Source organism: Homo sapiens, chromosome 20 (genome assembly GCF_000001405.40).
Source record: "Homo sapiens chromosome 20, GRCh38.p14 Primary Assembly".
NCBI classification, from domain to species: Eukaryota; Metazoa; Chordata; class Mammalia; order Primates; family Hominidae; genus Homo; species Homo sapiens.
In genome coordinates, this window is record NC_000020.11 from 58,523,027 (window position 1) to 58,540,109 (window position 17,083).

At 41.1% G+C, this 17,083-nt stretch overlaps 1 long non-coding RNA gene across 1 annotated transcript in view; it reads left to right on the top strand.

The window, feature by feature from the left end:
• The window catches only part of APCDD1L-DT (APCDD1L divergent transcript), a 104,514-nt gene that overhangs the window by 7,648 nt on the left and 79,783 nt on the right, over positions 1-17,083 (top strand). The window contains exons 4-5 of the long non-coding RNA NR_034147.1: positions 143-255; positions 688-780. This is a non-coding gene — a long non-coding RNA (APCDD1L divergent transcript). The remainder of the gene's footprint in view (positions 1-142; positions 256-687; positions 781-17,083) is intronic.

A 17,083-nucleotide genomic window follows, 5' to 3' on the forward strand; every position in this document is an offset into this window, starting at 1 on the left:
TCAGTTTACAATTAACACTCAGGGTTTAGTCTCCACCCCTCCCTCTTGAAATAGAATTTTTATCTCTTGATTCATGCTACAAGATAAAATCCATGTTTATCCAGTTTCATGAATAATTGATAAGCTCTTTCCAACTTGTCAGAAGCAACTTAGCCGTCTCGCCTTGCGGCCTGGAACCCCTGGCAATTTCCGGAGCACCGGCAAGAGACTTTTGCACAGTTTCTGCTTGGAGTCTACCGACTGTCTGTCTCAGAGGTGGGGGTTTATCTCTTGATCCTGATTCGTGAGTTACAGATTAGGCACTGAAGATTCCAGCACCGGGGATGCGTAGGGCCGGGGGAGGGAGGGAGGTGCACGTCAGAGTCCACTTAGATTTTCTGAACTCATGTCTGTGACAGGTGCAGACCTGGATTCCACTGGGAGCACCCCCACCCCCACCCCCCACCCAGGGCTAGCAGTTTCAGAGTTCACAGCATTAATTAACTCTAATCTGTTCCCTGATAGTTTAAAGCAGGCTCAACATGTGAAAGCATTTTCCTTCCTGCTTATTTAATGGACTTAATGAGATAACAATGAGAATCTGTGTTTAGGCTCTGTAGCGCATTTGGCTCTCCCGCCATGTTTGTATGATAAAAGGCAGTGGGCTGTTGTTTATGCGCTTAGCTGGGGTTTATTCTTTTTAAACAGGTCTGGACAGCTGCTTGTTACATTTGGCTCACGCTAGCTTAAAAAAGGAATTTATGGACCTTACTGCAGAACGTCCCAATTCTTCAGGCCAAGGTAAATGCAAGTTGGGGTGGTAGTGAAGTTGCAAACTGCCCCTAAGAAAAAAGGTTAACAAGATATTGTTCCTTCCACCCCCGGCCTCCCGTTGGTTCCCCCACCCCAAGAGCCTTCCCACCAGGCTTCAGGGTGACAAACGCTTGGATTTGATGGGGCTGAGACTTGCTTGTGCCTTTGTTGATGGCAGGGCACTTTTATTGAAACTTGTTGAAAGGAGCTAGCTTCGAAGGCTCCTCCAAGATTCTACACCACAGGGGGAAGCAGGACTTTGATTTAAGATACTCACATCTGTCAACCACAGGCATTCATTCAGTTTTCTCTTTCATTTGGGGAAGGAAGGGAGAAAATGAATCAGAGGCTGATTTTTTTTTTTCTGGCCTGTTTTCCCCAAGCTCCAGGAAATTAAGAAACATGCCATTAGTTTTAGCAAACAATTTGAACAAAGTAAAACCAGATCTCCCACCAAAGGCCGAGGACCATGAGGGGTCTGAGTGCCCCTGGCCCTGTTTGTGGACTCTGCGGGTCGTGGAGGAGCCATGAAGTGGGAAGAGAGCTTGGGTGATACAGGATGGTGTGCGTGACAGTCCTCCCTGTGTCTTCTTTGCTACCATATTTATCATAGCTTAGATGTGTGTGGCCTGGTGGCACCAAAGGTGAACAGAAAGCATTTTTGGGGCGCCATGGCCCAGACCTCAGCCTGAACGTTGTGGGAAGCCAGTGGGTGTCTGCATGTGTTGGCGAGAACCAGTGGGCATCTCCTTGGAAGCCAGTCCCCAAGGTGGCTCTAGATGGCTTACTCCTGCATCTTGCCAAATCCACAGGGTCCAGCTGTGTCTCCAGGGCTGCGTGGCTTATTGAAAAAGAGAGTGTATGGTGGATTTCAATATCTATATTCTACAAAAAATGTAAAAGGGGCAGGGGACGGGAACAAAGAAACCAGTGCTGGTGATCCTGCCCCCACAGTAAGGTCTGCTTTAGTGTGGACATGGGACAGGGGCCAGCCCCTGCTGCTCCCTGGGGGAACACAGGTCCGTGGGGGTGGCTCACCGTCATGTATGTGATTTTGATGTTTGTACATTTGTTGTACCACATGAACCAGTCTTGGACGGCTGTTCTGAGTAAATGGGATGATGTGGGTAAAGCCCCCAAGACCAGAGCCTGGCACAGGGCCGTGCTGGATAATGCTGACTCATGGTGATGAGGGGAAGGAGGAGGCAGGATGCCATGGGTGAGGAGTCCAGGCTCCAGTGCTGCTGAACCACCATCCACCAGTATGATCTCAGCAAGCCTCTCTCCACCTGGACCCAGATGATTCACCCGTTAAACATCCCAGGCACATTGAAGGGAGATGAACAGCGTCCAGCATGGTCCTCAGCTGTGAGAAGCCATACACTCGCCTTTTCCACCCTACAACTTTCCGTCATCTGGGGTGCAGGTTTCTTTCCTCTCTTTTTACTTATTACAAGGTAAAATACAGTCTTATTACAGAAAACTAGAAACCAGAAAAGCCCATCACACAGTCATTCATTCAACAAATGCGTATTGGGAAGGGTGGGGATGAGCCCCTGGTGGAAATGGGGTGAAGCTGTGGACTTTCTCTGGGTGCGATGAAGGCTGACGGAGGGCTTTGAGCATCCTCAAGATTCAGAAGTCTGTTCTCAGTCATCAGCAGCTGTACCAGGAGAGGAAGAACCTCTGAAGTGTTCTGGCTCCAAAAGCTAGTGAAAGTGCAGATTTCCTGAGAAGGAGTGAAGCTTAGGGCCCTGCCAGGCAGTGATGCTTTCTCAACTTTGGGGGCAGTAAAATGTACAGACTCTGGGGAAGGAGACCAGGAAGGAGGCTGCAAAGTGTGCATGCTCTGGGAAGGGGGCAGGGAAGGCTGGCAAAAAGCTGTTGGGGACCCAGCCAGGCTGCTTCCCTTGGAGGCCCAGCCTGAGATGTGTTTCCCACCATATATGGCAGAAATGATTTCAGGTGCTATGTAGATAAGCCACGAACTATCATTGAATCTTTTCTTGGTTGTATTGTGAAAGAAAAAGTCTCTGTTGGGTGCTGGTGTATCTTCGACACCACTTAACACTTGTCAAGCTCTCCTTTACTGAGGTAAAGCAGTCCTCAGGCTCAGAGCTTGTGACCAGGGAGCGGTATCTAGCCAAAATTTTATTTCAATGCTTTGTTTTCATTGTCTTTAAAACAAAAGATGGTTATCTTCCATTTGCCATGAAAGATACTGCTTCCCATTTCTGTTTTTTACTCATTTTTCATTAAGGTATAATTTGCATGCAGTAAAGTCTCGTCTTTTTAGTGTACAGTTCTGTGGAATTTCGATAAATGTATCCAGTGTGCAACCATCACATCAAGATATAGAAGGGTTCCTTCACCCCTAAATCCTTCCTTGGGGATGACAACCTCTCTTCACCCTCAGTCCTTTGCAACTAATAATCTGTTTTCTTTTCCTATAGTTTTGTCTTTTCTAGCATGTCCCATAAATGGAATCTTATAGCACGTAGCCTTTTGAGTCTTGCTTCTCTCACTTAGCAGAATGCATCTGATATCCATTCACATTGTGCCTGTATCAGTAGTTCATTCATTTTTAATAATGAGTGGTGTTCAGTTGTAGGCCTACACTATAATTTGTAGAGGGACATTAGGATTGTTTCCAGATTTGGCAGTTACAAATAAAGCCCCTATAAACATTCACGTACAAGTTTTTCATGAGCATGGGTTTTCATTTCTCTTGGGTAAGTACCGATAAGTAGGATTGCTATGTTGTCTAATACATGCATGTTTAACTTTGTAAGAAATGGCCAAGCTGTTTTTCAGAGTGGCTATACTATTTTGCATTCCTACCAGCAATGTACGAGAGTTCCAGTTGCTCCATATCCTCATCAGCACTTGATGTTGTCAGATTTTTTTTTTTGTTTTTGTTAGTCTAATGGGTATGTACTAGTATCTCACTGTGGTTTTAGTTTGTATTTTCCTGATGACTAATGATGTTTAACACCTTTTTATGGGCTTATTTAAAATCACTATATTTTCTTTGGTGAAGATTTCAAACCTTTTGCCCATTTTAAAATTCGAATTGTTTGTGTTTTATTATTGAACTTATTGAGTATTTACATATTCTGGATACAAGTTCTTTTCTAGATATGTTATTAGCAAATTATTCTGCTAGCTTTCTTATTAATTTTCTTAATGATGTCTCTTGGAGATTGTATTAATTAGTCTGTTCTCATGCTGCTAATAAAGACATACCTGAGACTGAGTAATTTATAAAGGAAAGAGGTTTAATTGACTCACAGTTCAGCAAGGCTGGGGGAGCCTCAGGAAATGTACAATCATGGAGGAAGGGGAAGCAAATATGTCTTTCTTCACATGGCAGCAGGAAGGAGAAATGCCAAGCAAAAGGGGGAAAAGCCCCTTATAAAACCATCAGATCTCGTGAGAACTCACTCACTATCACAAGAGCAGCAGCATGGAGGTAACTGCCCCCATGATTCAATTACCTCCCACCAGATCCCTCCCATGACATGTGGAGATTTTGGGAACTACAATTCAAGATGAGAGCTGGGTGGGAACACAGCCAAACCATATCAGAGATCATAGGTTGTTAATTTTGATCAAGTATAATTTATCAATTTTTTCTTTTGTGGATTATATTTTTGGGGCCATATCTGAGAAATATTTACTTAATCTAGGGTCACAAAGATTATCTTCTATGTTTTCTCCTGAAGGTTTTATAGTTTAAAGTTTTACATTGAAGTCTATTATCTATTTTGAGTGAATATTTTGATATAGTGTGATATATGAATGGAGGTTCATTTTAAAAATAAATATCCAATTATTCCAACCCCATTGGTTGAGAAGACTACTTTTTCTCTACTTAATTGCCTTTGCAACTGTGTCCTAAATCAACTGACCCACTCTGTATAGGCCTATATCTGGACTTTATAGTCTATTGCGTTGGTCTATATGTCTGCCCTTTCTCTAATTCCACATTCTCTTGAATATCTTACCTTTGTACTAAATCAGGTAGGGTGACTTTATTTAAAATATATTCTTCTGGCCAGCTGTGGTGGGTCACATCTGTAATCCCAGCACTCTGGGAGGCCAAGGTGGGAGAATTGGTTGAGGCCAGGACTTCACAAACAGCCTGGGCATCATAGGGAGACCCCCATCTCTACAAAAAATAATTTTTAAAAAATTAACTGAGCGTGGTGACACAGGCCTGTAGTCCCACCTACTTAAAGGGCTGAGGTGGGAGGATTGTTTGAGCCAGGAGTTCGGGGCTGCAGTGAGCTATGATTGTGCTACTGGATTCCAGCCTGGGCAACAGAGCAAGACCTTGTCTCCAAAAAATATTTTATATACATACATACATATATATATATATATATATATATATATATATACATACATATATATATATATACATATATATACATATATGTGTATATATATATCTGTATATATATATAACTGTATATATATAACTGTATATATATATATAGTTCTATTCTAACTTTATTCTTCTTTTTCAAGATCACTTTTGTTATTTTTTCTTTATCTTTTCATAAAAATTTTAGAATCTGCTTGTTGATTTCTACAAAAAACTCTGCATTATTTTTAAGTCTTGCTTTGCTGCCCAGGCTGGAGTGCAGTGGCATGATCATGGCTTACAGCAGCTTTGACCTCCTGGGCTCAAGGGATCCTGCTGCCTCAGCCTCCCAAAGTGCTGGGGTTACATATGTGAGCCACCACATCCAGCCTCCCATGGGTTTTGATTAGAATTATGCTGACTGTGTAAATCAGTTTGGAAGAATTGACATCTTCACAATATTGTCTTTGTCAACATGGCATGTCTTTCCATTTATTTAGGTCTTTGATTTCCTTTATCATTGTCTTTTTGGTTTTCAGCATATAGAGCTTGCATGTCTCTTATAAGATCCATACCTAAGTATTTTATAGGTTTCGGTGCTATTGTAAGTGGTATCTTAAAAAATTTCAATTTTCATTGCCAAGTATACAGAAATACAATTAATTTTTGAATATGGATCTTATTAACGTGACCTGGCCGAACTCACTTTTTAGTTTTAGTAGCTTTTTAATAGACTGTTTGAAATTTATATGTAGATTATCATGTCATCTAGCAATAGAGTTTGAATAATTTCTATTGACCTATCCTCAGGTTAGTTGATTCTTTTCTTACCTGTGTTGAGTTTACTAATGAGTCTATCAAAATTATTCTTTATCTGTGTGAGTGTTGTTTTTACTTCCAGCATTTCCAATTGATTTTTTTCTTATAGTTTCACTCCTCTGCTGAAATTATGCATGTGATAATTCATGATGTTCTCATTTCCAGTAGAGTCTGTAACATATTATTCATAGTTATTTTAAATTTCTATCCATTGTGTTTCTACCTTTCCAATGTGGATGTCTTTTTTTCCCTTGCCTTATTGTACTGATACAGTATTAGACAGGAGGAATGAGAGCTGGTATCATCCCTTGTTCTCAATCTTAGGGGAAAAGCATTGTCTTTCACTGTTATGTATGACATTAGAGTTGTAAGTTTTCTTGTAATGTCCTTTATCAGGTTGAGATTGTTCCCCTCTAGTCTTTGTTTCCTGAGAGTTTTTTTAATCATGAATATGTGTTTATAAAATGCTTTTTCTGTATCTCTTCTGATGATTATTTGATTTTTATTCTTCAGTTTGATGATATTACATTGAATATTGATATTACAGTGAGTTACATTGATTGAGTTTTTTGAATGTCAGACTATCCTTGCATTCCTTAAATAAACCCCAGTTGGCTGTAGTGTACTATCCTTTTTATATATGTTTTTTTTTTGCTTGCATTTTGTTAAGGATATTATTTATATTCATGAGGATTATTGGTCTGTAGTTTTCTTTTATTATAATGTATTTGTCTGGTTTAGATATCAGGGTTATACTGATCCCATAAAATGAGTTGGAACACGCACCCTCCTTTTTTTGTATACTGGGAGAAATTGTGTAAAATTGGTATTATTTCTTTCTTAAATATTCAGTAGAAATAACCAGTGGAGCCATTTGGGCCTGGAGTTTTTTTTTTTTTTTTTCTTCCTTCTTCTTCCTTCCTTCCTTCCTTTTTTTTCACAAGTGCTGACTGCTAGTGAGAGATTTCTTTTTAGAAAGTTTTGGCCAGGTGGCTCACACCTGTAATTCCAGCACTTTGGGAGACCGAGGTGGGTGGATCACCTGAGGACAGGAGTTCGAGACCAGCCTGGTCAACATGGTGAAACCCCATCTCTACTAAAAATACAAAAATTAGCTGGGCGTGGTGGCAGGCGACTGTAATTCCAGCTACTCGGGAGGCTGAGGCAGGAGAATTGCTTGAACCCGGGAGGTTGCAGTGAACTGAGATCATGCCATTGCACTACAGCCTGGGTCACAGAATGAGACTCCATCTCAAAAAAAAAAAGTTTTAATTATGCATTTAAATTTCCTTAATAGATATAGGATTATCTATTCTTTGTAAGGTGATTTTCAATGTTCAATCTTCCATTCCTGATATTGATCATTTGTGTTGTCCTTTTCCACTGGTCAGTCTTGACAGAGGTTTATCTGTTTTATTATTTTTTTTCAAAGCAGCAGCTATGGGCTTCATTATTTTCTTTTCTCAATTTCATTAATGTCTACTCTTATCTTCATTATTTCCTTTCTTTTGTTTATGATTGTTTCATCTTCACTAATGGCTTATTATTATTTATGTCTCTTTAAAAATTTTTAGTTGTTGACCCAAGTTTTATAACATGAATCTTTAATTAAAAATTCTAACCTCAAATAATATGATACTACTTTATATCTAGTCTAAGAAACTTACAAAATATGCTAATTATTCTTTTCTCCAACACTTTTGTGTCATTGGTGTCATATATTAATATTTTATTTTTATGTATGCTATGAGTACACAACAGCTTGTTACTACTTTTGTTTTTGCTACTACTTTTTTGAAAGTCAGTTATCTTTTAGATTAGGAATTGACAAATTTTTTCTGTAAAGGGTCAAATAGTAAATGTTTTAGGTCTTGTAGGCCACAAATTCTGGACCCGTCATAGTGTAAAAGCAGCCATAGACAATACATACATAAACTTGTGTGGCTTTGGTCCAGTAAAAACCTTTATTTACAAAAACAGGCGGTGGGCTAGATTTGGCCCACAGGCTGGGATACATTTTGGGTTGATAGTTTTTGTTGTTGTTGTTTTAGCACTTGTATTGTCTTGTGGCTTGCCTGACATCTCAGGGGAAGTCTGATGTAATTCTTATCTTTGTTCCTCTGCATGTATTATTTTTCTCTGTCTACCTTTATGATTTTCTCTTTATCTTTAGTGTTCAGCAGTTTGAATAAGCTATTTCTAGGTGTTTGTTTTTGTTTAATTTATCCTGGTTGGTGTACTCTCAACTTTTTGGATCTGTGGTTTTGTGTCTGTCATTAGTTTTGAAAAATGCTTTTTGTATAATTTCAACTATTTTAATGTATTAATGTACATCTTTTGTATTTTAATGTATTAATATTGGTTTCATGGCCCATAAAATGGTTTGCTTTGGTTAATGTTTCTTGTGTACTTGGGTGGAGTGTTCTATAAATGTCAATTAGATAATTATTTCTTCAAATATTTTTTTCTGCCTCATTCTGTCTTCTCATTCTGTAATTCCAGTTACTGTTCTGCTAGACCATTTGTTATTGTCTCACAATTCTTGGATACTCTGCTTATTTTTAAAGCTCCTTTTCCTCTTTGAGCTTGAATAATTTCTAGTGACCTATCTTAAGTTAGTTGATTCTTTTCTTACCTGTGTTAAATTTACTGATGAGTCTGTCAAAATCATTATCTTTATGAGCATGATTTTTATTTCAAGAATTTCCATTTGATTTTTTTCTTATCATTTTACTCCTCTGCTGAACTTACCCATTTGATAATTCATGGTGTTCTCATTTCCACTACAGTCTATAACATTTTATTCAGTTATTTAAAATTCCTATCTAATAATTCCATCATCTGTATCATAGCTGTGTCTAATTCTGTTGATTCTTTTGTCTCTTGACAGTGTGGTTTTTTTTCCCCTCACTTCTTTGAATGCCTCACATTTTTTTATTGAAAGCCAGACATCTTATGTAGGACAATAGATACTGAGGTTTTGACATCTGGGAATGGAGCATGTCTTTATTTCTGCTAGGACTTCAGTATGGGCAGTTGAGTTGGTCTATTTAGGAATTCAGATGTGTTAGATTTCATTGTTGGCTATAGTTGCTCCCAGTGTGCTGCCAGCTTCAAAGTCCTTTTATGTTAGTTTGAGTTTAAGTTGGGCGCTGGTTTGCCAGAGGATTTTTTTCAACCTCTGCTCCACCCTCAGCTTTTAGTCTTCCTTTGTGCTTTGCCACAGATTGAGTCTCTCTCCTGTCTCTTGTCCCTCTCCCGGGAAGAGACCACTGTTACCTGCTACTCTATATCTGTTTGCCTGGTAGTAGGGGTTGGGGAATATTCTCTGTTGTGCTTATTTTGTCTCAGTCTTAGCCAGGCACTTCATGGTTCTGTTTAGCTCCCAGCTATTGGTCTGGGCTTAGGATGCATTCCTGCCCGCCCTACTATACACCAGGAATAGTGTGAGGGTGGTTTGCTGCTGTTGTAGTTTCCTTCAGTCAGTTTCAATAATTTTCATTAGTGCCCTCATGGCAGTAGGTTTCATTGCCCTTCCCCTAGACATTTTAGGGAGATCCAGGTGAGGATCTGTGCTTTTTCTGCAGTGGTTTCTGTCCTCCTTCCCCAGTCCTATGCTGCAAGGGATGCTTTCTCAGTATTCTCATCTTGCCCTTTCCTATCTTTTTTGTGGGCACTCAGTTCAGCTATGGAAACAAGCCTGCATATAGAGTGAATTCATCTTATGTCTGTGGCTCTCAGAAGTGCCATATAGTCTCAGCAGCCCACGCTCAGCCTTTAGCAATTTGTTAAATATTCTAGCTATTTTTTTTCCTGCCAGCATCTGATGGCACCTACTCCAGGTAAGCAAGTATTCCAGGACTGGAATACTCTCCTTAGAGGTACCTATCTTTCCTTACATTTCAGGTTAGCTGGTTGCCTTGTAACTCAGATCTCTGCTGGATTAAAGAAAAGTTGCAAATTTTCAAATTATCTGGCTTGGTTTTCTATTGGAGTAGGAGGGTCTTTCCAGCATTCTACATCTGAAGCAGTTCAACTTCTTTTAAAAATAAACTTTCTCCACTAAAAATAATGTGTCCTTTAATATATTAATGATATGAAGCAAAGCAAATACTATGAAGCAAGGTTAATCGTACAAAGCACCTACAACAGGGCTTTGGAGTCAGCATTCTGTCTCATATTTTCTGTGTGACTTTGGAGAAGGTATGGACCTTGAGCATCAGTTTCTGTTTCCTTGTCTGTACAATGGAGATTGAATATTATCCAAAGAATTAAAAGAGCTAGTATATAAAAAGTGCTTGGCTGATGTTAAGTGCTCCACTAAATTGATAAAATTAACAAATGTTATTACTTTACATGGATTTAAAGACCATCTCTGCAGTGTGGAAGACAGTCCCAGATGCAGTTGGGAAATGAGGTGATTCTTCTCTGTGTGATTCCCAAATCTCCTGGACTCTGGCTGGCATAAGTGTGTGTGTGTGTGTTTATGAGAATGTTCACTCGTAGAATTCTCTAAAGTAGCTTCTGCCACTACTACCACCATTCAAAGCATACTCTAAGGCAAAAGAAGGAAATATTTAAAGAGTGTGAGAGACAGTGAAAATATCCAGCCCAAGACCAGGCATGGAGAAAGCCCCCAGGAAACATCAGCAAAGTGAGGAGGGAATGTACAGATGGGAGAAGTATGTATGGCTTGGAATAGACGCCCCCCCAGCTTAGTCCCTGCATGTGAACCAATGGCTGTGTGTCTGGGTGACCTTGGGCTGGACCCTTGACACCCCTGAGCCTCAATTTCTCATTAGCAAGATGGCAGAAATCTCTGCTGCCCTCCCTCACCTCCTATGATTGTTGTGAAGCCGAAACAAGACCATGTCTGTGACCATTTGGAAACTCTACAAACATATCAGGCATTAGTGTTAAAAATGATCACTCAAACCCATTCTGAAAGGTTGAAGGATATGTGAAAAGTGGACCTTGAGGCCTTCTCAATTATGGCTTCAGAAATAGTTAAGGTAAAGTCAGGCGGCAAGTGATCAATGCCTCTCGATGTTTCTTTCCCAAGGAGGCACTCAGATTTTTGCAGCTGCCTGACATGTTTCTTAACAACTTACCTCCAACTGGAGAAACATCAGTAGTTGTCGAGGCCACAGTTTGTCTGGCTGATTTATACAAATCGGTGAAACAATATCTCCAGCCTATTCTTTGATCTTGGTTTGAAGCAAGTCAACTTAAACACTCATGGGAGCTGGAAGGAGATCCTTCATACAAATGTGCCCACAAATCTTTCTTGGATGCTCAGGGTGAGGCCTCTGCTAGTTGCTTCAAAGGCCTCATCCATCATGACAGGGGGAATAAAAACTCAAGTTATGCTTTATTAACCTTATTGATTGCCATCCTTGACCCAACTCAACCCATATCCAACTGTGGCAGGAATTTCTAACTCAACTTTTGCTGTAGTAGAACTGCACTTCCTCCACCACAATCCTCTCTGCACCCTCCCTCCCTGGCCCTGGCACCTCTCTTTAATCAAGAAGGGCAGCAGGGAAGGAAGATCTCACTGCTGGAGACCAAGTGCTGTGGGTCATTAAGGGGGCCAGTTCTGGAGCTTGAATGCCTGGGTTTGAATCCAAGCTCTGGCATATACTGACCTTGGGCGAGTTCTAGAAATCTGCCCCTGCCTCAGAGTCTCCATTTATAAATTTATATGGTTCATTGGTAGGGGTTATACCAGATAAACAGAATCAGGAATTTAAATATGTATATTTTAAGGAATTGGCTGTGGGACTGTGGAGTCCGGCCTAGTAAGGCTGAAATCTGCAGGGCAGGCTGACAGACTAGAGGCCTGCAGGCAGGAGCTGATGCTGTGGACTAGACCGGGGGCAAAATTTTATTTTCCTCAGTGAACCTCAGTTTTGCTATTGAGGTCTTTCTACTGATTGGATGAGATCCCCAGATTATTAAGGACAATCCTTACTTAAAGTCCCCGACTGCAGACATTAACCCATGATAACTATAATACCGTCACAGCAGCACCTGCATTAGTGCTTTGTGGAATAACTAGGTGCTAGAGCCTAGCCAAGTTGACACATTAAACTGACCAGCACAGATGGTGTAGAAGTGATGTGAAGAGTATGAGGTACTACATGTAATGTTTGCAGGCTGGGACCCAGAACACAGTGTGGACTCAATAAATATGAGCTGTTCTTATTGCTGCGAGGATGCAGAGAGGAGACTCACAAATGGCCCCGTGTATAGTAAGTGCTCGGTAAACATTAGCGATTATTATGTCTTCAAAATTTCACTCAATATGCATCATTAATGTCAGGGCTGTGATGGTGGTGGGGGCACTGACTGGGGCCTATGGTAGCAAGTCATCTCATGCACACTCACACACACACTCTGTCTCACACACACTTGCATACTCACACCCGTACGCATACACACGCTCATACAATCATACACACACACACACATGGTTGATGACAAGTGGTGACTTCACAGGGTGAGGACTTATGAAGGATCTAGAGTCTGAGGGCTTGGGGAGTGGAGGTTTGCAGGATGAGCGAGTTTCCTGGGGAAGGGGTGGTGGCTGGAGGGGCGGGGCTGTGGAAGCCCACCGCAGCTAGGACAGGCGCAAGCGTCGGCCCCCGGGCAGGGTCCTAGTGTGGTGGGGTGGGTCCCAGCCAAACCCTGCATATCAGGTCCTGACTATGGATACTTGATTGCTTTGATTTGATTTGATTTATTTTATTTTTTTGAGATGGAGTCTCACTCTGTCACCCAGGCTGGAGTACGATGGCATGATCTCGGCTCACTGCAACCTCCGCCTCCCGGGTTCAAGCGATTCTCCTGCCTCAGCCTCCTGGAATTGCAGGCACCCACCACCATGCCTGGCTAATTTTTGTATTTTTAGTAGAGATGGGGTTTCACCATGTTGGCCAGGCTGGTCTCGAACTCCTGACTTCAGGTGATCTGCCCTCCTCGACCTTCCAAAGTGCTGGGATTACAGGTATAAGCCACCATGCCTGGCCCTGCTTTGATTTTATATTGGCATTTTTTTTCTCTTTTCGTCTGAAAATAATTTAAAAAATTGCTTATTGGCCATATCCATCTATCAATCTATTTAAAAAATAACATACCAACATTATTGCTAACAATATGATTATTCCTAAAAACAGCTCCAGATTTCTTTGCGGTTCTTGTCTCACTAGGGGTGTGCATCCCTATCTGTGTATTTTAAAATCATCTGAAATGATTCTTCTCTGATTGGGGAAACCAGGAGGTGGCTAATCTTTACTTAAAGGCCAGATCACCTAGGTAAAAAATGAGATATCCTCTTGAAAGCAACAAGGACAAAGTTGTTCAGCATGCGTAAACCTGAGTGTCATGATTGGTTTGTCTGGTCTGGTCAGGATACACATGCACTCCGCATCCCCCTTGCCATCTCAGGTCCAGGCCAACATTGTCTCTCACCTGACAACTGTCACAGCTTCCAAAATGGTCTCCCTGCTCCCACTCTACCCTGTCCTCATCCTTTTGTACTTGGCAGCCAGAGTGATTTCTTTTCCAAATTGAACTGTAATATCACACTGAAAAGGGGTTCAAAGAATTGTCACAAAGTCACGGACAGAATGGGAGGCCATTACCTAAGTGAAATGAGTCAGAAGCAGAAAGTCAAGTCACTGCATGTTCTCACCTATAAGTGGGGGCTAAACAGTGGGTACACATGGGCATACAGAGGAGGGTAATAGACACTATAGACTCCAGCAGGTGGGAGGGTGGGTGTATTAGTCTGTTCTCACTCTGCTAATAAAGAAGTACCAGAGACTGAGTAATTTATAAAGAAAAAGAGGCTTAATGGGCTTACAGTTCCACATGGCTGGAGAGGCCTCACAATCATGGCAGAAGGCAAAGGAGGAGCAAAGGGAGGTCTTACATGGCAGCAGGCAAGAGGGCATGTGCAGGGGAACTGCCCTTTATAGAGCCTTCAGATTGAGTGAGACTTATTCACTGTCACAAGAAGGGGAAAAATCCACCACCATGATTCAATCACCTCCCACCGGGTTCCTCCCATGACACATGCGGATTATGTGGGCTACAATTCAAGATGAGATTTGGGTGGGGACACAGCCAAACCATATCAGTGGGAGAGGGTTGAGTGTTGACAAGTTACCTGTGGGGTACAAAGTGCACTCTTCGGATGATTTGGGTACACTGAAAGCCCAGACTTCACTGCCATGCAGTATATGGAGGTAATGACTGCAGTTGTATCCCCTAAAGCTATAACAATTTTTAAAATAAAATGGTCATATAGCACACTTCTATGGAACCTCAACCCAGATCAAGAAGTTGCTTCCTTGTCCCATCTCAGAAACTGTGTCCCCCTCACCCCCAGCAAGAGAACCACTGTTTTGACATCTCACATTATTATTTCATTTTACCTGCATTTGAATTGTCTTTCAATGGAGTAACTCAGATTATATTCTGTTGCGTCTTGCTCCTTTTGCATAACTTTTTAAAGTGAGACACAACCATGTAGTTGTGTGTGGGTATAGCTCTGTTGTTATTTTTGTTGTACAATATTCTATTTATGAATATGCTATAATTTATTTATCTATTTTGCTGTTGATGGATATTTGAGTTGTTTCCTTTTTGGGGGCTACTACAAACAGCACATGTATGAACATTCCTGTCCACGTATACACCGCTGTTGGACAGAAGCAGATTTTCTGTGTTATGGAGTATACATAGGTTCAGTTTCTATAGATACCACCAGTTTTCCAAAGCAGTGGTCCTAGTCCACATTCCCAGCTGCAGTGTATGAGAATTCTAGCTGTTCTATACCCTTGGATTATGTGCCATTGTCTGGGGGTCTTCTGTTTGTTTTATTTTTGTTTCTTTAGTTTTTCCATTCTCTGAGTGTGTAGAGTATTTTACTGTGCTTTTAATTTGCATTTATCTGATGGCTAATTAGGTTGAGCCTCTTTTCATGTGCTTATTGATTATTTGGACATCTTTTTATGAAGTGTGCCTGTTCAAGTCTTTTGCCCATTTTTATATAGGTGTGTTTGTATTCTCTCTGGACTTGTAATACCTTACAGGTCTGGATATGACTCCTCTGTCATTTGTATGTGATTTAGTTATGAAAGAGAATCTGTTCAGGAATCTGATCTTGTCACTCTCCTGGCATCCCCGTCTTCATAGGTCAGCATCTTTGAGAGGTTCTGGTACTCAGGCCTTTGAGTTCTCTGGCCTGTCTTTGGGCCACCCCATTCTGTGGCTTCTCCTTCAGCTATACTAGAGCCTCTAGAGTGTCCTTCTCCTTGTCCTGGAATCTGACACAGGGCAGTGTGACTCAGAGCTAAGGGCACAGACTCTGGAGCCACACTGCCCGGTCTCACCGCTCAAGTGTCGAATGGTGCTGACAATAATAATAATCCCCCCTCAAGAGTTGTGAGGAGTTAATGTGAAGTCCTTAGAAGAGTGCTGAGCACATGGCAAGGCGGGGTGAGCGTGAATATTTTTTTATCATCGTTTATGTTCACTGAGGTTCTGCTTTTGGAAATGTCCTTTCCTTTCATCACCTATGATTCTAATCACCCTTGGCTAATTCCTACCTACCCTCTAAGTCTCAGCTCCAAAATCATGTCTTCAGGGAAGCCCTCTGTATCAGTCAGCACAAGCTTAGTTGACTTGCAGTAATGAACAACCTCAAACTTGCAGTGGCTTTAAACCATCAGAACATATTTTCTGCCACATGTTCCCTGTTGGGTGGCTAGGGGATCTGCCACCATGATACTTTTGAATCTTTGCTCCAGAACCTTGTCCATGGACCAGCCACTACCTGGACTGTCAATAGGCAGTGGTAGAGGGAAAAAAGGCTCTGGTAGGTTTCACACAGGGGATTAAGGCTCACCAGGAATGACTCTTATGTGTCTCCCACTCTCGCCAGAACTAGTCACAGGCCACATTGACCACAGGGGCCAGGAAGTTCAGTCGCATCTTGTACTCAGAAGGAGAGAGAACTGAGATATTTGGAGGGTTGCACCAATGACTAATGACAATTTGCCTGAACCCCAAACTGAGTTAGGCCATGCTATTGTGTGCTTTGTCTATTTCACCTTTCTAACACACACCATTGTGCAGTCATGTGTTTGTGTGACTATTTGATTATCGTCTATGTCTCCCACCAGGCTGAATTTCACAAGGGCAGGGCCCTATTGGAACTGTTGACTGCTCTATCCCTGTTTCTGTCACTTGCCCCTTGCAGACATTTGAGAAGTTTGGTGTCTATAGCAGTCAATCATTGGAAAATAGATGCTGGTCTCTTTATCCTGCCATCTCTAGATACCTTTTCTTCTTTTAATTATTCACCGCAGAAATTTATATACCCATCTCCCAGCTTCCACAGTTATCAACATGCCAATCTTGTTTCATCAAATTCCCATATTTCATTGCAGAAATTTTTGAGTCTATAAAAAATAGAATCATATAGTAAACTCTCATGTAACCATCTCCCAGCTTAAACCGTTATCAACATGCCAATCTTGTTTCACTGAATTCCCATATTCTCTCCCCACCTCTATTTTAAAGTGAACACATCCTATCATTTCATTCACAAGTCATTCACTACAATGTAATACCATTACTGTGCCTCAAAAATGGACAGTCATTTTAAAATATCATATAATACCCAGTCAATGTTGCAATTCCATTGATGGCCTCATAAATGCTTTGTTTAAATTAAGATCCAAAGAAGATCCACACATTGCATTTGGTTGATTTGGTTTTGGAAATCTTTAGTGAATCTCCATTCCCTTTTTTATTTTCTTATTTTTCTATTGGAAACCATATCACCCATCCTGTAGCCTTTGCCATAATCTTGATTTTGCTGATGGGATGGTGTCTTCTGATATGTTCCTCTGTCCCCTGTGTGTCCTGCAAACCTGTAGCTAGCTCTCAGTAAGATCTAGAAGTTTGATGATGTTCATATTTGACTTTTTTGGCAAGAATTCATCAGAGTTGTCATTGTATACTTGTACTGCCTCATTCCACGTGATGTCTGTTTGTCTGTTAAGCTTCCTCAGAGGTTTTGGGGTTTGC